This window comes from Homo sapiens, chromosome Y (genome assembly GCF_000001405.40).
Source record: "Homo sapiens chromosome Y, GRCh38.p14 Primary Assembly".
NCBI classification, from domain to species: Eukaryota; Metazoa; Chordata; class Mammalia; order Primates; family Hominidae; genus Homo; species Homo sapiens.
In genome coordinates, this window is record NC_000024.10 from 7,316,634 (window position 1) to 7,340,915 (window position 24,282).

Here is a 24,282-nt window from a genome sequence, read left to right on the forward strand (position 1 = left end):
TGGGCTTCTAGGGTACCCCTTACCCAAATAGTGAACATTGTACCCGATAGGTAATTTCTCAGCCCTCAACCCCTTCCCAGCCTTCCCCTTTTGGGAGTCCCCGTATCTGTTATTTCCATTTCTATGTCCATGTGGACCCACTGTTGAGCTCCCACTTTTGAGCGAGACTATGCGGTATTTGACTTTCTGTGTCTCAGTTATTTTACTTAGGATAGTGGTTTCCAGTTCCATCCCTGTCGTTACAAAATACATGATTTTTTTTATAGCAATGTTGACATACTGTATTTTCTGTGGCTTTTATATACTAAATTTTCTTTATGCAGTCATCTATTGGAATGGCTGTTACAAAAACTCAAAAAATTCCACACATGGTGGCCCATGCCTATAATCCCAGCACTTTGAGAGACCCAGGCAGGAGGATCACTTGATCCCAGGAGTTTTAGACCAGCCTGGGCAACATAGTGAGACCCAGTCTCTACAAAAAGCTCAAAGAAATAGTGAGGGATGGTGTTGCATGCCTGTAATCACAGTTCTTCAGGAGGCTGAGGTGGAAGAATTGCTTGAGCTCAGGAGTTGAAGGCTGCAGTGACCTATGATCGCACCACTGCACTCCAGCCTGTGCAACAACAGAGTGAGACCCTATCTAGGAAAAAAACAGAAAAGTAAGAAAACAACAGATGTTGGTGTGGAAGTGGAGGAAAGTGGCCGTGGATGCGCTGCTGGTGCGGAGGAGGTCTTCCAGTGCATGCAGCAGGGGAGGTGACCTCACTTCTCCTCGAGAGGAGCTCAGCTGTGCAAGGCAGTGTTGGAGAGGATGGGAGGGTGCATGTGACCCTAGGAGCAAGGCTGTGTGCCTGTGGGCATGCACTTCCTGGTGACGTTTCCTTGGACCCCACAGTGGGAAAAACAGGAGCCCCTCTGCCCTCTCATTCCTCTTTCTCTGTATTTGCATTTGCTGTCTTGCTGGTCTCAAGATTCCCAAGCGCTGCTGCCAGCCCACCCCTTCAGCCTGCCAAGCTACATGTGTGCGCCCACTTGACCACTCTCTGAGCCTTCTGCTCAGGTGCCTCCCACCAAAAATGAGTTCCTGCTCTTCCTCCTTGCCCCTCAGCCCTAGTCATTTCCTCATTTGCAGTTCCCCGTTTATAAGTGCCCCTTCTGCTCTTGGAGCTCAGCCAGGAACCATTTTTTATTTCCTTTTCTTTGGCTCTGTATTCACTCTCATCCTGAATCCTGCCCTTTTAATTTTTTTTTTTTTGAAAAGATGTGGTCTTGCCATCTCATCCAGGCTGAAGTGCAGTGGTACAGTCATGTCTCACTGCATCCTTGACCTCCTAGGCTCAAGGGATCCTCCCACCTCAGCCTCCCAAGAAACTGGGACCACAAATGCACACCACTATGTCCAGCTAATTAAAAAATTTTTTTTGTAGGGACAGGATCTCACTATGTTGCTCAGGCTGGTCTCAAACTCATGGTTTCAAGCGTTTCCCCTGCCTCGGCCTCCTAAGTAGCTAGGATTACAGGTGCACACCACCATGCCTTGACCCTTTCCAATTCTCAAACACATCTCCAGAGCCCATCTACATCAATGATGTCTTCACAGAAGCCGCCGTAGCTTATCTAAATTCCCTCCCCTTCTCTCCATTGATCTCCGATCTCTGCAGAACTCACCCCTTCCTGCTGTATCAGCCCAAACCTTTCTGACATGAAAATAGGCTGGGTGCAGTGACTCAAGCCTGTAATCTCAGCACTTGTGGAGGCTGAGGTGGGAGAACTGCTTGAGACCAGGAGTTTGAGACCAACCTGGGCATCATACTGAGACCCCATCTCTAATTTTTTTTTTTTTGCAAAGACAGGGCCTTTCTCTGTTGCCCAGGATGGAGTGCGGTGGTGCCATCATAGTTCACTGCAGCCTCATTCTCCTGGGCCCAAGTTATCCTCCCACCGCAGCCTCCCAGGTAGCTGGGACTGTAGGCCTGTACCACCAAGCCTGGCTAATTTTTAAATTTTGAGGGTCTTGCTGTGTTGTCCAGACTGATCTTGAACTCTTGAGTACAAGTGATTTTCCTACCTCAGTCTCTCAAGTAGCTAGGAGTACAGGTGTACACCTCAGGCCCACCTAATTTTTAATTTTTTTTTATAGAGACATGGTCTTGCTTTGTGCCTAGGCTGGTTTTGAGCTCCTGGGCTCAAGTGGTCTGCCACCTTGGCCCCACAAAGTGCTGGAGCACTTTGGCCTCTAGCCTTCTTTTATGTCCCTCCCCAGTCTTCCTTTGGCCTTCAGCTGTGGGGACAGAGATGCCCCCTGCCTCCCTGTCCCCACCTTCTACCTGGTCTTGCAAGACCCCCTCCAGGCATCCTTCCAAGTTTACAGTGTAATGTCTGTTCCCCCTCAAACCTGCAAAGCTCATGATAGTCACAAGATCTGCCCTTCCTGATATTGTGTACCGAGGACATTGCTTGGCACATAAGGGGCCCTTGTCCAAAACATCTGGAAACCAATAAAGAATGTGGCTGGTGAGTTACTGATTAATGTGTTGATGAATTCATTGATTGCTGAGGCTAGTACGTACAGTAAGGGTTAGGTTTTGAACATGCTTCTCATATCTATCGTGATAAACCCTCTTATCGTCTATTGCTTTTGAACTTTTATAGACTTGATGTCAGGGAAAGAGTCCCGCATTTAACTGGAATCGTTGAACTGATGCACCGGTTTCTAATTTTCCAAACTCAGATTTGAAATCACCTGTGGTCACTAAACTCTGTCCTATCCCACAGCCCCTGCACATGGTGACTTATGTTTTGTAAATGTTTTTTGGAGATAGTAAAGTCAATATCTCTTTGAATATTTTGTTCCTTACCTTTGGTAAGACCTAGCCCTGCACAAATTCTGTCCATGTAAGCAAAGTCTTTTTTTTTTTTTTTCCAGATAAGGTCTGGCTCTGTCACTGAGGCTGCAGTGCAGAGGTTCAGTCATAGCTCACTGCAGCCTTCAACTCCTGGGCTCAGGCAGTCCTTCCGCCTCAGCCTCTTAAGTACCTGAGACTACAGGCATGCACAACCACACCCGGCTAATCTTTTTATTTTTTTGCAGAGACAGAGTGTCCCTATGTTGCCCAGGCTAGTTTCAAACTCTTGGTTTCAAGTGATCCTCTTGCCTCAGTCTCCCAAAGTGCTGGGATTACAGGTGTGAGCCACCACACTCGCCTGCAAAGTCTGATAAAAGATTTGAAGGAAGGATGTCTCAGAGAACTTTTTTTTTCTTATACTATTTACTTAATCTTATTGATTTGGGGAAGGGCAAGGGAATCCCAGTTTTCTAGATTTTTTTTTTTCTTATAGGAATATGTTTTTACTTGGTACCTCTCTCTGTGTAAACTATTGCTTCTTAAAGATGCTGAGGGGTGATCCCGCATTAGTGTATAGGTAAAAATGATGTCTCCATTTCATATATACTGATTAGGTGACTTTTTTAAGCCTTGTGGTTTGTTGATGTTGATTTTACTGAGACACTTGTGGAACAGATGTATTTTCATACAACCTTACACATCTCAGTAGTTTTCCCCACTCGTGCAGTAACTTTTTCTCCCCTGCTTTCTCTCCTCCTCTCCCCACCTCTTCTTCCTTCCCCTCCTCTCCTCGTCCCTTCCCTCCTCTTCTCATTTGATACAAAGCCCTAGCTCTCTTCCTCTACAGATCATCCTACCCATGGTTGAAATTGCAACTTCCCCTGCAAGCCAAGTGACCGAACCTGAGATGTTTGTATTGTCAGGGCTTGCATATTCTACATGCCTGCATAATCCCCAAAGTTCTTTCATTCCTTGCTTCTAACCTACCCAAATCCTTCTAATCTCCCACCACGGTTAATTATCTCTGATGCTCCTGAAAGGTGACCTGCTGCTACATTGTGACAAGGTGATGCATTATTCTTAAGAGGATCTGTACAGATTATTATCCCAGAGTGGGATAGATGGGGGAGGATACAGTATATATCCAAAGAATATGTTGCAAACTAATAGGAGGGAGAGAGAGAGAGGGAGAGAGAGAGAGAGAGAGATGAATGGGGAGGATACAGGATATATCCAAAGAATGTGTTGCAAACTAATGGGGGGGTGAGGGAATGAGGGAGGGAATGCATCTTTTTCTTGCATATTTCAGCCATTCTCTTCAGCCACATTAATAGTTGTACACAGCGGTCTTGTTATTGCCTTGACCATTTTTGTGGCCTGAAGAAATTTAGAAAGTCACGAGCTGACACAGAAGTTTATTGTAAAAGTTCACCAGTACGATAGTATTTGGATCTTGGAAAATATTTCCCCACCAGAACAGTGAAACTGTGGTTGTCTTCTAAGGTCATCCACAGAAGTACAGTTTGACTCTCATGCGTTTGAGATACCATGTGCTTAATCACGAAGTATTGCTGAGAGGAACACTCTTGCCCAACCAATAATGGTGCAAAACAGAACAATAGGGCATTTAGCTAGGAGAAAATGACTTGAGATGTCAGCTATAAGATGAAAGGAGTGTGGGTATGTGGTAGGTCTTTATAACTCCAACAGATTGCTCTAGAAAACAATCACTACATACCAAAATTTAGCCAGTCTTAGTGGCATGTGCCTGTAATCGCAGCTACTCAGGAGGCTGAGGCAGGACAATCACTTGAACCCAGGAGGCGGAGGTTGCAGTGAGCCAAGATCATGCCATTGCACTCCAAGCCTGGGTGACAGAGCGAGACTGTGTCTCAAAACAAACAAACAAAACAAAGCAACAAAACCACTCCAACAGATACTTCTCCCTCCTCATATACTCTCCCTGGATCCCTTTATGCCTCAAGACCACAGATTTTGAACTTGCTGAGCTGTAGTGAGTGGAGAGGTGGGACACAGGTGCACAGCCTTCAGTAACTGAAGGAAAAAAAAACAAAAGAAATTTCTAATCCTGAGCTTCCTGAGCTCCCTTCAGCCACTCAGCTGCTGAGGGGCAGGAATCTAGCAGCAAGGTGGAGAGCGGAAGGCATTCCTACAACCTGTATTTGTGGGTCATTAGTCCCCGAACTCCAGCATCCTTGCAGAATCTGCAAATTTTAAAGTGCATCAGGTAAGACTTTTTTATATAAGAGGCCTATATTTTGCTAATACATATAAACATTGTGTTTAGTCAAATAAATGTTTATTTAAAATTGACAGTAGCATGTTGTTTTATTTATTTATTTTTTTCTTTTAGGGATAGGATCTGGCTCTGTCACCCAGGTTGAAGTGCAGTGATGTTGTGATCATAGCTCATTGCAAGCCTCCAATTCCTGGGCTCAAGTGATCCTCCCACCTCAGCCTCCTGAATTGCTGGGACGCCACCATGCCTGGCTGATTCTTTTATTGTAGAGATGGGGTCTTGCTGTGCTGCTTATGCTGCTTTCGAACACCTGGCCTCAAGTGATCCTCCTGCCTTGGCTTCCCGAAGTGCTGGGATGACAGGCATTGAGCCACTGTGCCCAGCCTATGACTTTTCCTAGCATTAATCTCTGTGTCATTGTAAGCTGTCTCCTGGGTCTTTGCCTTCATTCTACACTGTTTTGGTGGAATGGCCTGTGCTGGCAGACAAGCCCATCTGGTTGACCTTGAGCATCCTTCCCTGTCCTCAGGAAAGGTTTCCTGCGCATTGTTTTGTTTTCTTTGTACACCGACTGGCTGCAACTCATTGGAATGACCTTGCAAGGGAGCATCCATGATAGTGTCATGATCAGATGAAACATAACAGTATGTGTCCTGGTCATGGTTAAGATTGTCTTTTATGCTTCCGATTCTTCTGGGTGCCGTCTGCTGGTGGCCCTCTCATGTGCTAATGGAAACATGGGCATGCTGGTGTCTTCTAGGTCCTCTCCAAAAACAAAGCCCAGGTTAGGCACAGTGTCTCACGTCTGTAATCCCAGCATTTTCGGAGGACGAGGTGGGAGGATCACTTCAGCCCTGGAGTTCAAGACCAGTGTGGGCAACACAGTGAGATCCTGTCTGTACAAATAATAATAATAATGATGATAATAATAATAATAATAATAATAAAATAAGCCAGGCGTGGTGACATGCACCTGTAGTCCTAGTTGGGAGGCTGAGGTAGGAGAATTGCTTGAGCCCAGGAGGTTGAGGCTGCATGAGCCATGATTGTACCATTGCACTTCAGCCTAGTGGATAGAGTAAGAACCTGTTCCCAAACACCCCAAACAAACAAAATCCCAAAACCCTTAGTTCCACATCTTGCATCATTTCCCCCACCTCTTCTTTAGGAGCAAACCTTTCATTATCCATGCATATCTCTCCAAACTGTATTTATATTTGTGCTGAGATGTTGAATGCACAAGACGTACCTCAGTATCTTTTGTTCCCTACTTTCATCTCTACCCCTCCCTCTTCCTTGATCTCTCATTGCTGTGTTTTCTTCCACTGATCAACACCTTTGTAAGGAGAAGGCACCTTGGGCAAGCTACCACAAGCAAGTAATTAGGAATACCTCATTTGGGGCTTTTTAAAAGGGCTTTTTCCCAGTAGGTTTGGGATGCAGTCTGCAAGTTTATTGTTGATTCCCAGGCTTTTAATGATAGTTCCAGGTTACTGAATTGGGTGTGATCTCTGAAGATCTATGTGTTGTTGGTTAGTAGGTTAGGGCTGCCATAACAAAGTAGCATAGATTGGGTGGATTAAACAACATTGATTTATTTTTTTACCATTCTTAAAGCTAGAATTTTGAGAAGAATATGTTAGCAGGGCTGGTGCCTCTTGAGGCACCTTGGCTTGTAGATGCCATCTTCTCCCTGTGTCCTTACATGGTTGTCCTTCTGTGTGTGTCTGTGTCCTCATCCTCTCCTCTTAGAAGGACTCCAGTCCTGTTGGGCTGGGGCGCATTCTACCACCACATTTTATCTTAATCACCTCTTTACATGCCCTGTCTCCAAATACAGTCATATTCTGAGGTCTTGAGAGTCTGGTCTTCTACATATGGATATTGGGAGGATGCAGTTCAGTCCATAGCGCACTGTTAGCTGGTGTATTACAAGATGTTGATATTTACTCTCCATTTATTCCATGACAATGAGACCTTTACCCATTTCCCAGGATACACATATCTTAACATCTGCTGTTGTCTAAATGCATCCCTCAAATTCATATGTTGAGACAGTAACCCCCAAAGCTATGGAATTAAAAGATGGAGCATTGGGGGAAGCAATTAAATTGTGAGGGTGAAGCCGTTGAACAGGACCAGTGCCCTTGGTGAAGGGGCCTGAGGGAGCCTGTTTCTCCTTGGTCTGTGGGAGGACAGTGTGAGAAGGGCCCTTCCCTCAGGAATGGGCCCTTACCATGCAGTTCATTAGTGGGAAGTCCAGAGACTTCCAGCCTCTGGAACTGAGAATAGTACATTTTTCTTGTTTGTAAGACCCTCTAGTATATGGTATTTTTGTGATAGCAGCCAGAATGGACTAAGACAACATCTATGTAACATCTATGGAACTTGTACTTTAATATCCATCTACATGCTTATCCCAATATCTGATTATACACCTCTTAACATCTACACACGTCTTAGCATCTTACCTATACTGATGAATTATACCTGTCTATATGTAGACCTCAGCACCTGTCTATACCCAGAGTCACATCTACACACACACGTATCCTAACATCTGTCTGTATGCACACCTTAGCATCTGTCTATCACATATATTAGCATCTATGGACCTTGAGAACTTGTCTGGAGGTTCTAGCAGGGGAATGCAGCTATTCGTATACCCTTGACTGAAGACCAGTCCTCCTCTATTGGGGTTGGTCATCCTCTTTGACCGAACACGCAGCTTTGGGAGGGACGCATATGGAGCGGTGAGGAGGAAGGGGACAACTGCCTAGCCAGTCAGATCAGCTGAATCAACCCTGGTGATCAATGGCAGGCAGATGTTGCAGCCAGATTGCCCTCACATCCATATATTAGCATCTGTCTACATCCATATCCTAATATGTGTCTACACTCACAGAGCAACACCAGTCTACATCCATCTACACCCATATCCTAACATCTCTTTATACTTCTATGTTAATATCTATCTACATTCATATTCTAACATCGGTCTTTATGTGTATATTAACGTATGTCTACACCTATATCCTAGCATCCATATTATAACATTGTTCTCTACCTATGTGTTAACATCTCTCTTCACCCATATTCTAACATTTATATCTATCCATATTTTTTGTAATGCCTGTCTACATCTATATCTTAACATCTATCTCTACCTATATATTAACATCTGTCTACACCTATATTCTAACATTTATCTATATCTGTATTCTAATATTTGTCTACATCCATATATAACGTCTGTCTACAGCCATGTCCTAACACCTACAGCCATATATTAACATCTGTCTAAACCCATATCCTAACATCCATCTACACCCATATAGTAATGTAGTAGCATCCATCTATACCCATATCCTAACATCTCTTTGTACCTACATATTAACCCCTTCTGCACTTGTATCGTAACATTTATCTATATCCGTGTTGTAGTATCTGTCTGCACCCATATATTAATCTGTCTACACCTATATCCTAACACCTATCTATAACTACATGTTAACATCCATATATATCTGTATACTAACATATATCTATATCCACATTCTATACCATATTATAACACTGTGTAAACCCATATATTAGCCCCCATCTGCACCCGTATACTAACCTCTGTCTCTCAGCAGATTGTAACATTTATATGTACATGCATTCTAACACCTATCTATACCCATATATTAATATCTGTCTTTACCCATGTGCTCATACCTATGTGCTCCATGTCCCAATATCTGTACCTAGCTATTACTGTGTGTCTGTCCACACATTTTGTCATCTAGCTGAGTCTCTACCCCAACATCTAGCATACGGCATATCCCTTTCCCTCCTGTGGCGGGGCCCTGAGCGTGTGCTGATGCCTAGCTGATGGTGTACCCCTGCCCTGCCTTGGCGGGGCCCTGTGTCTGTGCTGACACCTAGCTGACAGCATAACCCCTGCCCTGCCCTGGCAGGGCCCTGAGTGTGTACTGACACCTAGGTCATGGCATATCCCCTCCCCTCCTGTGGCGGGGCTGTGAGCATGTGCTGACACCTAGCTGACGGTGTACCCCCTGCCCTGCCCTGGGAGGGCCCTGAGCGTGTGCTGACACCTAGCTGACGGCGTACCCCCTGCCCTGCCCTGGCGGGGCCCTGAGCGTATGCTGTCCCTGCAGGTTCTGGACGTGGCATGAGGAGCGCTTCCTCTACATGCTCATGGAGTATGTGCCGGGTGGCGAGCTCTTCAGCTACCTGCGCAACCGGGGGCACTTCTCCAGCACCACGGGGCTCTTCTACTCTGCGGAGATCATCTGTGCCATTGAGTACCTGCACTCCAAGGAGATCGTCTACAGGGATTTGAAGCCGGAGAACATCCTGCTGGATAGGGATGGTCACATCAAGCTCACGGACTTTGGGTTTGCCAAGAAGCTGGTAGACAGGTAAGAGGAACGTGAACTCCGATGGAATCTACACTGCTTGGCAATGAGAAAGGTGGTGGTAGTTGTGGCAGGTCAGGCAGGGAAAGATTGGGAACCAGAGTTTAACTCTCATGTGTGGGAGACACTTGCAATCAGGGATGAGAGAGCCAGGTTGACCCACAGCTCATTTTAGGTGGGCTGCGATTGCTGGCAACTTCAATGGAAGTGGAGGGTATTATCGTTAAGTGAAGTAACTCAGAAATGGAAAACCAAATAGGATGTGTTGTCACTTATAGGTGGGAGGTAAGCTATGGGTGTGCAGGGCATACAGAGGAGTGTAACAGACACTGGAGACTCAGAAGTGGGGAGGGTGGGAGGAGCCAGTTACAGAGGTAATTTCCTGATTACAGATTCAGGAGGCAATTGTATCTGTGTGGTTTTTTTTTTTTTTTTTAAACAGACAGTCTGGGAACCCTCAGTGTTAAAATTATTCTTACATTTCCCCTGACAAAAATGACGACAACTATCTATACTCTCCTACTCCGAAGTTTCCATTAATTACTGTTTTACTGCCTCAAAATGATACCTTGAGGGATGAGGTGTGGAGTTTTGGTGAAGTGTTGAAATTGGCAGGAAAAACCTGTTACTGCCAAATTTGGTGACAGTGACTTCATTTTACTGTGTCAGAATAATGACATGAAGAGTGAATTTGAGTAAGGTATGTAAACTACCATGAAAGACCGAAGACAGATGTAGTGAGAAATGAGATGTGACCAAAAGCAAGACAGGTTGGGCGTGATGATTCCAGCATTTTGGGAGGCCAAGGCAGGAGGATCGCTTGATCCCAGGAGTTCAAGACCAGCTTGGGTAACATAGCAAGACTCCCTCTCTACAAAAAATGAGCCAGATACAACTATAGTCCTAGCTATTTGGGAGGCTGAGGTGGCAGGATAATTTGAGCCTCGCAGGTTGAGGCTGTGGTGAGCTGTGATTGCACCACTGCTCTCCAGCCTGGGTGACAGAGTGAGGCTCCGTCTCAAAAAAAAAAAAAAAAAGCAAGATGTGTTCCTGTCAAGATTTTGACACCATCCTCATTAATTAAAGAGGTTGATAAAAGCAAAAAAAAAAAAAAAAGAGAAATGTTATTTTTATTATATATAATTTTACATTATTTTTCCTGCTATATTATGAAATAAAAAGCTTTTTATACTTTTCTATGACAACCACGAGGGGAAAAAAATGGACTTTGTGTATATTGTAAGCTTACCAGTCAGAAATTGCCACATTGTAGCCGTGTGTTTGTGTGTGTGTCTGTGTGTGTGTGTGTGTGTGTGTGTGTGTGTGTGACTATACCTTATTTTTGTTTTCTTGGAATCAGTTTTTTATTTTGAAACTGAGTCTCGTTGTGTTGCCTAGGCTGAAGTTCAGTGCAGTGAGCTCACTGCAACTTCCCCCTGGGGCGTTTAGGTGATTCTCCTGCCTCAGTCTCCTGAGTATCTGGGATTACAGGCGCCCGCAACCGCGCCGGGCTAATTTTTGTATTTTTAGTAGCGATGTGGTTTCTCCATGTTGGCCAAGCTGCTCTTGAAGTCCTGACCTCAGGTTATCTGCCCACCTTGGTCACCCAAAGTGCTAGGATTACAGGCGTGTAAACATGCTGCAGGCATCCTCAGTATTAGGTCTGTTTTGCAGTTACCCAACACAATTTTTCAGGGTACCTCCTCTTTATATCTGAACAAGTTGTTTGTAATTCTGAACATTTACATCCTTCCAAAGACGCTGTGGTTGGAAAATTGATCTCAACTCTGAACTGTGCTATTATACTATACTGCAGTGAAATACTATATACTTAGTTTCTTTTTTTTTTTTTTTTCCAAGACAGGGTCTCATCCTGTCACCCAAGCTGAAGTGCCGTTGCACAATCTTGTCTCACTACAGCCTCAAACTCCTCGGCTCAAGTGATCCTCCCTCCTCAGCCTCTGAAGTAGCTGGGACTACAGGCATGTGCCACCATACCAGGCTAATTTTTTTATTTTTAATTTTAGAGATGTGATCTCACTTTATTGCTCAGGCTGGTCTTGAACTCTTGGCCCCAAGATATCGTCCCACCTCAGCTTCCCAAAGCACTGGAATTAGAAGCATGTGCCACTGTGCCTGGCCAATTCTATTTTTGAATTTAACATTTTTAGCACCAGACAGTTGTTAAATCAGTATCATTTTATTATTTGTTTATTTATTTAGATGGAGTCTCACTCTGTCGCCCAGGCTGGAGTGCAGTGGTGCGATTTCAGCTCACTGCAACCTCTGCCTCCCAGGTTCAAGCGATTCTTCTGCCTCTCAGCCTCCTGAGTTGCTGGGATGATAGGTGCGTGCCACCATGCCCGGCTAATTTTTATGTATTTTTAGTAGAGACGGGGTTTCACCATGTTGGTGAGGCTGTTCTCAAATTCCTGACCTCGTGATCTGCCCTCCTCGGCCTGGGATTACAGACATGAGCTGCTGCACCTGGCCAAGAATTATTTTATAAAATCTAATCTTACATAGTTTATGAGGTAAAGGGCCTTTTGGCTTAATTCGCCTCAATGGTCCAGAATGCTATGCCAAACTGGGACAATTGTTTAATTGTATAGTGTTCAGCATATGGGAGGTATTGTCCTTGCAAAGCCACTGTGGTGCCTTGTGTGTCTGTTTTGGTGCTGGGCTCTCTAGAGAGTGTATTGTCTATATAATGAACATGCACTGTTTAATATGTAGGAGAAAAGAACTGTTAATATTTTAAATCCCACCCAGTTAAGCCAAGAACAATACTGTTTACACAAAGGGCTTCACTTGGCCTTAAAGGTGTGTTTTGAGGGCAAGTCTAGATGTTTTTATTATTATTGTTTTTTAAATTTTCCTCTTTTTTGAGACACAATCTTGCTCTGTCGCCAGGCTGGAGTGCAGTTCTGTGATCTCAGCTCACTGCAACCTCTGCCTCCTGGGTTCACATCATTCTCCTGCCTCAGCCACCCGAGTAGCCGGGACTACAGGCGTGAGCCACCACGCCTGGCTAATTTTTGTATTTTTAGTAGAGACGGGGTTTCACCATGTTGGCCAGGCTGGTCTCGAACTCATCTGAGGTGACCCGCTGGCTTTCCTTCCAAAGTGCTGTGATTACAGACTTGAGCCACCACTGTGCCTGGCCTATTTTGGCCTATTTTTTCTTTTTTCTTTTTTTTTTTTGCAGAAGGAGTCTCGCTGTCTTGCCCAGGCTGGAGTGCAGTCGCATGATCTCAGCTCACTGCAAGCTCTGCCTGCCAGGTTCACACCATTCTCCTGCCTCAGCCTCCTGAGTAGCTGGGACTACAGGTGCCCGCCACCATGCCTGGCTAATTTTTTGTATTTTTTTTTTTTTTTTTTTAAGTAGAAGTGAGGTTTCATCGTGTTAGCCAGGATGGTCTCAATCTCCTGACCTCGTGATCTGCCCACCTCAGCCTCCCAAAATGCTGACATTACAACCGTGAGCCATTGCCTATTTTTTAATTTTCTAAAAACTGGAAACAGGTTCTCACTATGCTGTTTCCCAGTCTGGTCTTGAACTTTTGGGCTCAAGGAATCCCCCCTGACTCCTCAGCTTCTGTAAGTGCTGAGATTACAGGCTTGAGTCACTGGGCCCAGCCTAGACTTTTAGTCCAAAGAAGATAATAGGGGGAGGGATATGTCTGTAGGTGAATGAGTGGATCTTTCCCTTCTCTATCCTGGCATTTTCTCTCCTTCATCTCATCGATTAAAATTCTGGTCTGTGTATGTGTTTTGTTTTTGAGTTATTTTGTGTTGGTTCATTTGTTTCTGTTTCTTTTTTGTCAGTACCCCTATTGAAACACAAATTCTCTTTTCTCTGTCCTGTGTGCCCACCATATTGCCTGGTAGGATGACGTGTTAGAGATGCCCACACAGACCTGGGGAGAGATTGGGCTGTGTTCTTTCTAACACCGCCACAGCACTGATAATAACATGCAGTCACAACCACTCCATTTACAAAGACAAAGAGGGGTGTTTTCTGCCTCCAGACAGTTTTAGTAATGTATGCTCCTAAAATTTTTCTTTATCTAGGGCAACACTGTCCAGTAGAAGTCCAACGCAAATCCCATCTGTTATTTTAAATTTTCTAGTGTAGTCATGTGTTAAAATATAAAACAAACAGGTGGAGAAAATTTTCATAATGTAGTTTATTTCAGTAATTCAGTACATCCACAATATTTTCATTTCAACATACGATTCATACAAAAATTGAGATATTTTACATGAATTTTTCCTGCTCAGTTTTTGAAATCCCATGTTTATTTTACACACACAGTTCATTTATATCAGGGTGCCGATTCTCATCAGAAATAATAATGGATCTGGTCGGGCATGGTGGCTCACACCTGTAATCCCAGCACTATGGGATGCTGAGGTGGGAGGATCGCTTGAGCCTAAGGAGTTCAAAATCAGCCTGGACGACATAGTGAGACACCCCATCTAAAGAGAGAGAGAGAATGGGTCCTCCCTCCCCTCCCTTTCGAGAAAAGCCTGACAAATTTATTTGATCATAGTTTTACATGATGCATCATGTAAAACCAGAATGAACACCCAAAGATACCAAAATCAAAAAAAAAACCTGTCTATTTTTATGCTTAGGTTCTGTGAAGCAGGGACAGCCATGTAGAAATGTGATTGGAAAAAAGTGTATGAGCTGATGGGAATAGACTGAGTGGGGAAATCCAGTCAGGCCTGACTGCTCAGAGTCTTCTTTTTTAAAAAATTTATTTATAAAGAAAATAAGTGTGTTTCTTACAGTTTTGGAGGCTGAGAAGTCCAAGGTCAAAGGGCTGCAGCTGGTGAGGGTCTTGTTGCTATGCTGTAATGTGGCCGAAGCCAGGACATGGGCAGAAAGAGGAAAGGTGTCAGTTCAGGTCTCTCTTCCTCTTCTTATAAAGCCAGCAGTCCCATTCCCGTCATGAAAGTCCCACCTTTTTTTTTTTTTTTTTCTGATTTTATTTTAATTCAATACCTTTTGGGGAACAATTTTTTTTTGTTTTCTTTGTTGCATGGAAAAGTTCTTTAGTGGTGATTTCTGAGATTTTGTTGTACTTGCCATCCAAACAGTATACACTGTATCCAATGTGTAGTCCTTTTTTTTTTTTTTTTTTTTTTTTGAGACAGAGTTTTTCTCTGTTACCTGAGGCTGGAATGCAATGGTGCCATCTTGGCTCACTGCAACCTCTGCTTCCCCGGGTTCAAGCAGTTCTCCTGCCTCAGCCTCCTTAGTAGCTGGGAATACAGGCCCACACCACCATGCCCAGCTTATTTTGTATTTTTAGTAGAGATGGGTTTTCACCATGTTGACCAGGCTGGTTTTGTAATCCTGACCTCCAGTAACCCACCCTCCTTGGCCTTCCAAAGTGCTGGGATTATACGCGTGAGCCACCATGCCTGGCCGTAAATTCTTCTTTTGTTATTTTATTTGGAAGTCTAATTCAACAAACCAGAGATAAAATCTTGCATATATTCACTTGTTTATAAATTTGACAAACCGTGTTACTGTCCAGTTAATTCATGATGTCTATTTAAGATTAAATGGATGAAATGGTTTACTATATAACGTGCACCAATTATTTTACTTAATGAACATGCGAAAATCTTAGAAAATGCTTCATTACCATCTTGATATATTGCTTTCTCTTTTTTTGTTTTTGTTTTTGAGACAGAGTCTTGCTCTGTCACCCAGGCTGGAGTACAGTAGTGCAATCTCAGCTCGCTGCAAGCTCTGCCTCCTGGATTCAAGCAATTCTTCCGCCCCAGACTCCCAAGTAGCTGGGATTACAGGTACCCACCACCATGCTTGAATAATTTTTGTATTTTTGGTAGAGACGGGGTTTCACCATGTTGGCCAGGCTGGTCTTGAACTCCTGACCTCAGGTGACCCACCCATCTCTGCCTCCCAAAGTGCTGGGATTACAGGCATGAGCCACTGATAGGTTGCTTTTACAAAGAACTGCATCTTTCTCTGTATGGGTAGTGTAGCTTCTGTAACTTTTTTGTGTGTGGGCTTTTTCTCCTTTTTTTTTTTTTTTTGACCTTCTTTCTAACAAAACATTTCTCTTCTGGCCTGGCCCCAAGGAAGTTGTGTTCATGGGCAGATAGATGGCCCTGCCCCTGGTTCAGGATTCAAACAGTACATGTACTTTTTGAATAAAACTTAAAAGAAATTTACCAGTGTACTGTGGACCACTACAGAATAGATGGAAGTAAACAGGGAGGCTTCATCATGAATGACTTTTTTTATTTTTGAGATGGAGTTTTACTCTGTTGCCCAGACTGGAGTGCAGTGGTGCAATCTTGGCTCACTGCAACCTCTGCCTCCGGGGTTCAAGTGATTCTCCTGCCTCAGCCTCCTGAGCAGCTGGGATTACAGACACGCGCCACCACAGCCAGCTAATTTTTGTGTTTTTAGTAGATTTGGGGTTTCACTATGTTGGTGAGGCTGATCTCAAACTCCTCACCTCATGATCTGCCCCCTCAGCCTCCCAAAGTGGTGGGATTACAAGTGTGAGCCAATGCGCCTGGCCTTTATTTTTTATGTTTTATTATTATTATTATTATTATTTTATTTTTTTTTTTTTTTGAGACAGGGCCTTATTCTGTCACCAAGGCTGAAGTACAGTGGTGGGATCTCAGCTCACTGCACCCTCAGCGTCCTGGGCTTCAGCAGTCCTCCCTTCTCAGCCTCCCAAGTAGCTGAGATTATAGGCATGTACCACCACAGCTGGCTAATTTTTGTATTTTTAGTAAAGACCTGGTTTCATCACGTTGCCCACGCTGGTCTTGAACTCCGGATCTCATGTAATCTGCCCACCTCGACCTTCCAAAGTGTTGGGATTACAGGTGTGAGCCAACGCACCAGGTCTTGAATAACATTTTTGAACGTTTCCCAGAAAGGTAACGTTTTCATTTTTCTCTTATAGCATGGGGTAAAAACACATTTAAGCATGTTGTGATTAAGTTTTCTACTCACTACATGAATCTCTGTCTTTCTTTTTTGTTTCTTTATTGAGACAGGGTCTTGCTCTGTCACCCAGGCTAGAGTGCAGTGGTGAGACCATGGCTCACCGCAGCCTGGAACTCCCAGGTTCAAGCAGTTCTCCTGTGTCAGCCCCCCAAGTAGCTGGGACTACAAGCCTGTACCACCGTGCCTGGCTAATTTTTTAATTTTTTATGGAGATGGGGTTTCACTATGTTGCCAGGGCTGGTCTCTAACTCCTAAGCTGAAGCAGTCCTCCCGCCTTGGCCTCCCAAAGTTTTGCGATGACAGGTGGGAGGCGCAGTGCCCCTCCCCTCCCCTCTCTTCCACCCCTCCCCTCCCTTCCACCCCTCCCCTCCCCTCCCTGCCCATCTCCTCTACTCCCCTTCCCCCTGTTCCTTTTTTTTTTTATTTCTTTTCTCTCTTCTCTTTTCCTCTACTCTCCCTCTTCCTCTCTTTTCTTTCTTTATCCTGTTAACTGAATGACTCGTATAATACTTATTTTAAACCACTGCTCATGGTGACTTGGTATTTGGCTTTCCTAGGTTGTCAATATGTTGAGATGGTTTTCTTTTTCTTTTGTGGCTTGCTTTCGTCAGGCTCTTGTTTTCTAACAGCAGTATTTCTTATGTTTGTATTTTAAATATTTTGTACACACACTTTATTATATATTATCTGGATAGCTCCCCTAAAAGACTTGATGGCAAACTAGAATTATTTCTGGTTTTATGAAATGGTCAAAATAAAATACTGATGCATTTAATATGATTTTCTAAGTCAAATGCATAACACAAGCATCCCTTATTTGAAATACTTGAGACCAGAATTGTTTTGGGTTTTGGGTTTTTTCAGATTTTGGAATATTTGAATTACCTTTACCTGTGAGCATCCCTAATTCGAAAATTTGAAATCCAGTGCTCCAGTGAGCATTTCCTTTGAGCTGTGAGCATCATGTCAGTGCTGGAAAAGTATTGACTTTTGGAGCATTTCAGATTTCAGATTTGGATTAAAGATGCTCAACTTGTATACACCTGTCTTTAAACTATAACAGATGATTTCTTTCTCTCCAACAGTTCTTTTTTGTTTGTTTGTTTTTGGTGTTTTTTATTTCTCTACAACAATTTTTTGTTTTTTTTGTGTGTGTTTTTGTGTTTCTTTTGAGACAGGGTTTCACTGTATTGACCAGGATAGTCTTGAACTCCTGGCCTCAAGTGATCCTCCCACCTTGGCTTCCCAAAGTGCCAGGATGGTATCCGTGAGCCACTGCATTGGGTGCAACAGCTCTTTCCTAGTTCTTCTGTTGTAGCATTTTAAGTCCAGATGTTACATTGATTACTGTCCTCTGGGTTTTTATTTCTAGCATCTAGGGGTAATATTGAACCTAATCTTTCAAAATTTCTACTTAATCCTTTCAAACACACACAGGAATAGAGAGTAGTTCATATTGAAACCTTGTGGTCCCATCACCCAGTTTCGATTGTTATCAAAGCTTTGCCACTTTGTTGGTTTCTTTCTCTTTGCCCATTTGTTTGTTGAGTTATTTTAAAGCAGATGCACTCCATCCTATCTCTAATAGATATCTCCCTTTAAAAAAGAAATTCAATGCATTATCACATCTGACCAAACTAATTTTTTTAGGAAAAAAATCTAGCCTGGGCAACATAGCAAGACCTCATCTCTGCAAAACATCAGAAACAAAAAAATTAGCCTTCCATAGGTTAAATCCACCCTGCTGTATGTCTGTTAATAAAGTTTTATTGGAACACAGGCACATCTTGGGGGATATTTCTAACAGAGACCATGTGATCTACAAAGCCTAAAGTATTTGCCATCTGGCTCCTTAGAGAGAATATTTGCCCACTCCTGAGCCAGGAACTTTAAATTGACCAGGAACTTTTTGCAGTGGAGTATTATTTGACCATGAAAAGGAATATAGTTCTGACACATTCTACTCCACATTGGTAAACCTTCAAAACATGATGTGGGATGAAATAAGCTAGACAAAAAAGGGGCCCTAGATTCTTCTAAGTCATAGGGACAGAAGGTAGATGGTGGGTGCCAGGGGCTGGGGAGGTGCAGGGAAGGGGGAGATACTGTTTAATGAGGAGGGAGTTTCTGTTTGGAATGATGAAGTTCCACCAATGGATGGTAGAGAGGGTTGCACAACAAGGTTGATAGGCTTCCCGCCACTGAACCATACACTTAAAAATGATTAAAATGGAAAATTTTATGATAGATGTATTTTACCAAATAACTGTATACATAATTGTAATATTTAATTAGACATAAATAATATATCCTGTATTAAATTTATATATTTAAATATATTTATCTCTTTAATATGTTAAATATTTAAATATATTCATATGTAAATTTAATATATAAATATATTAATGTAATGTGTTAATTAAGATAACATAATGTATTAATATAATATATTCCGATTATATTTGAAACAAATACAATGTAATTTTTAAACATAATTATATTTTAAAAATATATATTTAATATAATTATATAATAAACTGATACTTTATATTTAATTAAATGTTACATATGTAATTAAACTACTAAATACTTTTATATGCTCATAAATTGTGATATAAATATATATTTAGAAAGTTATATGTAGCTATAATTATACAGTATCCATAGTTTTCTATATATAATTTTATAAATGTATATTTATAATTTTTTAAATTTAAATTTATATATTAGTATGTGTTACACATTTATTGTTTAGATTATATGTTCAAATTTAAATGTATACATTTATAAATACATAATTATTTTATATATATTTCATAACATCAGAAAAGTCTTTCTACTTACTTTGGACGTTTTCCCTTAGCTTCTTACTTTTGAGTATTTAATGGAAGCCAAGGAGGGCCTGAGATGTCGAGTCTGTTTGCAGTCAGTGTTGTTACTTTCCCTTCAGCCCTGTTTAATTTTGCTATAATTCATACTAGGAGGTGGGTATTACTGTGCCGAGGTTGGTGACAGGCACCCTTCTCCCTGCTGGTCAGTGGTGTTTCGGAACCATAGTCGCCTAGGAAACCCCTCCCAGGGCCTGGGCTGGCCATCGGAAGCTGTCCCATGCTTGCGGACATGTACCTTCTCCCTTGACAGTCCTGAAATTCTCAACTGTTTGTTCCCATCAGACAGTTCTAGGAACTGTGATTGTGTCCCTGTAGAAAAACAACGATGAAAAACTTTCCTTTTTCTGAGAAACCCCCACACCCTGCTTCTTGATTGTAACCCAAGATCCTATAAGAAAAGGCGTGTAGTATTTTCATCATGAGTACTGAGCTAACATCTATTTCCTGCATTACCAAATGTAGAGAAAACACTCTCATACTTTTCTGATAAAAAGGAAAAAAATCCATTCGTTTCTGTAATCAAGAGTAAAAGCTGTCATCAGCTGTCCATATTCTTCATGAGCCCCACTGTGCCCCTGTTAGCTGAGTGACATGCTTACCATGTCGTAAAGCCATGAGGAGAGACAGAAAGTGAGGCTGGTGACGCCACCTGCTAGGACGTAAGAGGGACTGGACTGAAACTGAACTGGGAGATGTCATCCATTTCTCTCTCTTTTTCTCTTTTTATTGTGGTAAAATACCCTTAAAATGTACCATAGTAACCATCTTTATTTATTTACATTTTTATATTTTTTGAAACAGGGTCTTGCTCTGTCAGCCAGGCTGGAATGCAGTGGTGCAATCATGGCTCACTGCAGCCTCCAACTCCTGGGCTGAAACAATCCTGTTGCCTCAGCCTCCTGAGTACCTGGGACTAGAGGTGTGAGCCACTATGCCTGGCTAATTTTTAAATATTTTTGTACAGACAGGGTCTTGCTATGTTGCCTAGGCTGGTCTGGAACTCTGAGGCTCAAGTTATCCTACCTTGGCCTTCCAAAGCATTGAGATTATAGGCATGAGCCATTGTACCCAGCCCATTTGAACCATCTTAAGTTGCACAATCTCATGGCATTTATTGCATTTACCATGTTGTACAACCATCACCTCTGTCTAGTTCCAGAACATTTTCATGATCCCAAAAGAGAACTTGTATCTGTTAAGCAATTATTCCCCATCCTAAGCCAGGATGATCTCATCTTAACTTGATTGCAGCTACGAAGATCCTGTTTGCACATAAGGTCCCACTCACAAATACTGGGGTTTAGGACTTTGGGGAGTGCACAGTTCAGCCAGTGCAGGTGTGACGGAAGGCATGGGCATTAAGAACACAGGAGTCATTGGATATCTATACTTCATAGATAATCCTATCCTTAGCTCTGTTTCTCCTTCGTTAACATGGCCTCCTCCTTCCCCTCCCGCCGGCCATAGTGAAACTAAGAACAGTGAGAAAACTGAGAACAGCAGGTGTCACCTTCCTTCTACCCAAAAGCCAGGTGAGCAAAAGGAGATAGGAGCAGGGAAGTGGATAATTCACTGCCCCGACCAGTGGTCTCCACATAGCACTCAGGCTGTCTCATCTCATATTCATTCACGCAGTCAGCATCTCTCCATAGCAGCGCATGTCTCTCTGTACTTTCAGCTAGGCATTGGGGCTTTTTGCAGGAAGGATTGATTCTAACAGGGCAGGAGTCCTCCTGAGGCAAGTTAGAACCTGGATACTTATACAACCTTAGGTGTGTGTCCTTACCCTAACATGGAGCCAAAAAGAGCCTCATCTTTTTAAAGGTAAGTGGAAGTTGCAACTAAATGCCTATAGGGTGACTTGCGGCCACTTCTACTTTGGGTTCATATCAGCTAAGTTCTATGCTTTTAGCTACTTTCAGGCCATTTTGGATGGGCTAGCAAGGTGAAAATACAAAATTAGTAGGCCAATAAGTCAGTCGTCTTGCAGAGTAACAGAAATGTTATGCATTGAATCAACTAGGGTGTACTTGGAGTTGATTCCGCTGGGAGGGGCAGGGGAGAGGATGTTTCTAAAATAATGTGCATTGTACTTTCCTTTTGTAGACTTAAGTCTAATGAATGAGAAGCACTTAATAGGACCACAAGGGGATCCTTGTTCCATGCTTAGATCTAGCATGCAGATAAAGTAAGCCCCTTCCCACATTCCTCCATGGGAAGGTAACTTAATTTCTCTCCTTGTCTTGTTTCTTTCTTTCCTGACTTGTATCTCCCAGAGCCTGCAGTACTTTTTTTCTTTTCCTTTTTTTTCCCTTGAGACAGGGTCTTGCTCTCTTATCCAGGCTGTAGTGCAGTAGTACTATCATGCTCCCTGTAGCCTTGAACTCCTGGGCTCAAGTGATCCTCCCATCTCAACTAGCTGACACTACAAACACCTGTTAGCATGCCTGGCTTTTTTTTTTGAAATGGCATTTCGCTCTTGTCACCCAGGCTGGAGTGCAGTGGTGCAATTTTGGCTCCCTGCAACCCCCACCTCCTGGGTTCAAGTGATTCTCCTGCCTCACCCTCCCAAGTAGTTGAGATTACAGGCGCTCACCACCATGCCTTGCTAATTTTTGTATTTTTAGTAGAGACAGCGTTTCACCATGTTGGCCAGGCTGGTCTCAAACTCCTGACCTCAGGTGATCTACCTGCCTCTGCCCCCCCAAGTGCTGGGATGACAGGCATGACACCGTTCTTGGTCTTTTTTTTGGTAAAGAAGAGGTCTTGCTATGTTGTCCAAGCTAGTCTGAGGCTCCTAGCCTCAAGCAATCCTCTTGCCTTAGCCTCCCAAAGTATTGAGATTACAGGTGTGAATCACCATGCTTGGCCTTGTGGTACTTTTATTTCATGGATGGCCGACAGAATTTGAAATTTGGATGGCAGCCAGTTTGTTGTTATCCCAAGGGCTTACAGATTAATGTGGAAAAGTCTCTTGTCGGAAAAGAGGTGGGTATGGAGATGTGGTGGAGAAGCGAAGGAAAGATAACAGTAACAACAATTTGGGTGGGTTCCTGCAAGCAGGAAGGTGAGGAGCTGAAGCCAAGATACGTGCCCACACCACCGCAAACAGGGCAGACTCAGGTAAGATGTGCTGGGAATAAAATAGGCTTTGCATATGCTTGAAACATTGTGCAAAGAACTCGAGAGTGGATAAACATGTACATTACCAGGCTCTATGGAACTTGCTTTTTGTTCTCTTTACATTCAAAAAAATATGTAAGTATATATTTTTTAAAATGTAAAAAAAAAAATTACATATGTATAAATATATTATAAAAAAGAAGGGCCTTTGCAAAGCATGTATATTTTTTTCCCCTCCAAGGGTGTTGCTTCTTTCTGCCTGTCTACAGACGGGCCCCACACACCAGGCTAGGAAGCATGTGTCAGGAAGGGTGGATGTGGCCTGCAGGTGTGCTATGGGTCTGAATTGCTGAAAGCCCGAAGCGACATTCTACCCAGCAGTAGAGTGCCAATGGAGTATGGCCTAGACACAGCCCCCTCTTTGAGGTTACTGATACTCAGCTCCTTTCCAGCCCATGAGTCTTCCAGCTTCTGCTACAGTCATTGTTACATTGCCCTGACTTTGTTTAGCAGTTGCTTCTGTAACCAAAACACAGGTTCAGCCCCTTGCCATTTGCAGAGTGCAATTAGCAAGAGCAAGGTCTAGTGTAAAGAAAGTGAGTTTTTATTCCAGAGCTTTCTTAGGGTAAGAAGTACTGGCTTCCTGCTTGAGGCCACCCCTTTGTTTTCGGAGCACAAAGCAGGCACTTTTAAAATGGCATGCAGGGGAGGAAGTGTATTTCCGTCTTTACACTGGTTTCCGGGGGCAAGAAATGTTTTTTTTTTTGCAGAGGGTAGAGAGTGAAAGAACACATACATAAGCTCTGCTGACCATCCAGTCTCAATTACAAGTAAGGACTCTGCTCTTGCACTTTTTTTGGGGGTGGGGAGAGTCTCACTGTGTCGCTCAGGCTGGAGTGCAGTGGTGTGATCTTGGCTTACTGCAACGTCTGCCTCCCAGGTTCAACTGATTCTCCTGCCTCAGCCTCCCAAGTAGGTGGGATTACAGACATGCATCACCACACCCAGCTAATTTTGTATGTTTAGTAGAGATGAGGTTTCGCTATATTGGCCAGGCTGGTGTTGAACGCCTGGTGATCCACCTGCCTTGGCCTGCCAAAGTGCTGGGACTACAGGCATGAGCTACTGAGCTGGCCTAACTGAGTTCTTGAATTATTCTTTTCAGTGACACTTTTTTGTTTGTTTGTTTGAAGGATAAAGGATTTTTTAAAATTTAATTTTATTTACTTATTCATATATTTACTTTAAGAACTTTCGTTTTAGGTTCAGAGGTACATGTGCAGGTTTGTTATATGGGTAAACTGCATGCCACTTGGTTTACGAATTATTTTGCCACCCAGGTAATACACATCATACCTGACACGTAGATTTCCCATCCTCATCCTCCTCCCACCCTCCATCTTCAGGCAGGCCCAGGTATCTGTTTTTCCCCCTCTCCATGTCAGCGTATAGCCAGTGTTTAGCTCCCACATATAAGTGAGAACATGTGGTATTTGGTGCGTGATGTGAGTCCACTTAGGGGAATGGCCTCTCCACCTCCATCCATGCTGCTGCAGAGGACATGATCTCGTTGTTTTTCCTTTAATTAATTTTATTCATTATGATTTATACTAAGACAGGTAAAAATAACTCAAAAAAGTCTGAGTCTTTTTGCTTCTGAGTAACAGTGGTAACAGTACCAGCAACAGTAGCAAGGATGGTAAAACCAATTCTTAGTTTCCAA

General features: G+C 43.1%; 2 pseudogenes across 1 annotated transcript in view; one reads left to right on the forward strand and one right to left on the reverse strand.

Annotated features, from left to right (window-relative positions):
• PRKY (protein kinase Y-linked (pseudogene)) overlaps window positions 1-24,282 on the forward strand; it is a 107,576-nt pseudogene that overhangs the window by 42,662 nt on the left and 40,632 nt on the right. Inside the window, exon 3 of the transcript NR_028062.1 lies at window positions 9,273-9,536. The product of NR_028062.1 is annotated as a protein kinase Y-linked (pseudogene) (transcript). The remainder of the gene's footprint in view (window positions 1-9,272; window positions 9,537-24,282) is intronic.
• Window positions 7,664-7,962, reverse strand: RN7SKP282 (RN7SK pseudogene 282; annotated as a pseudogene).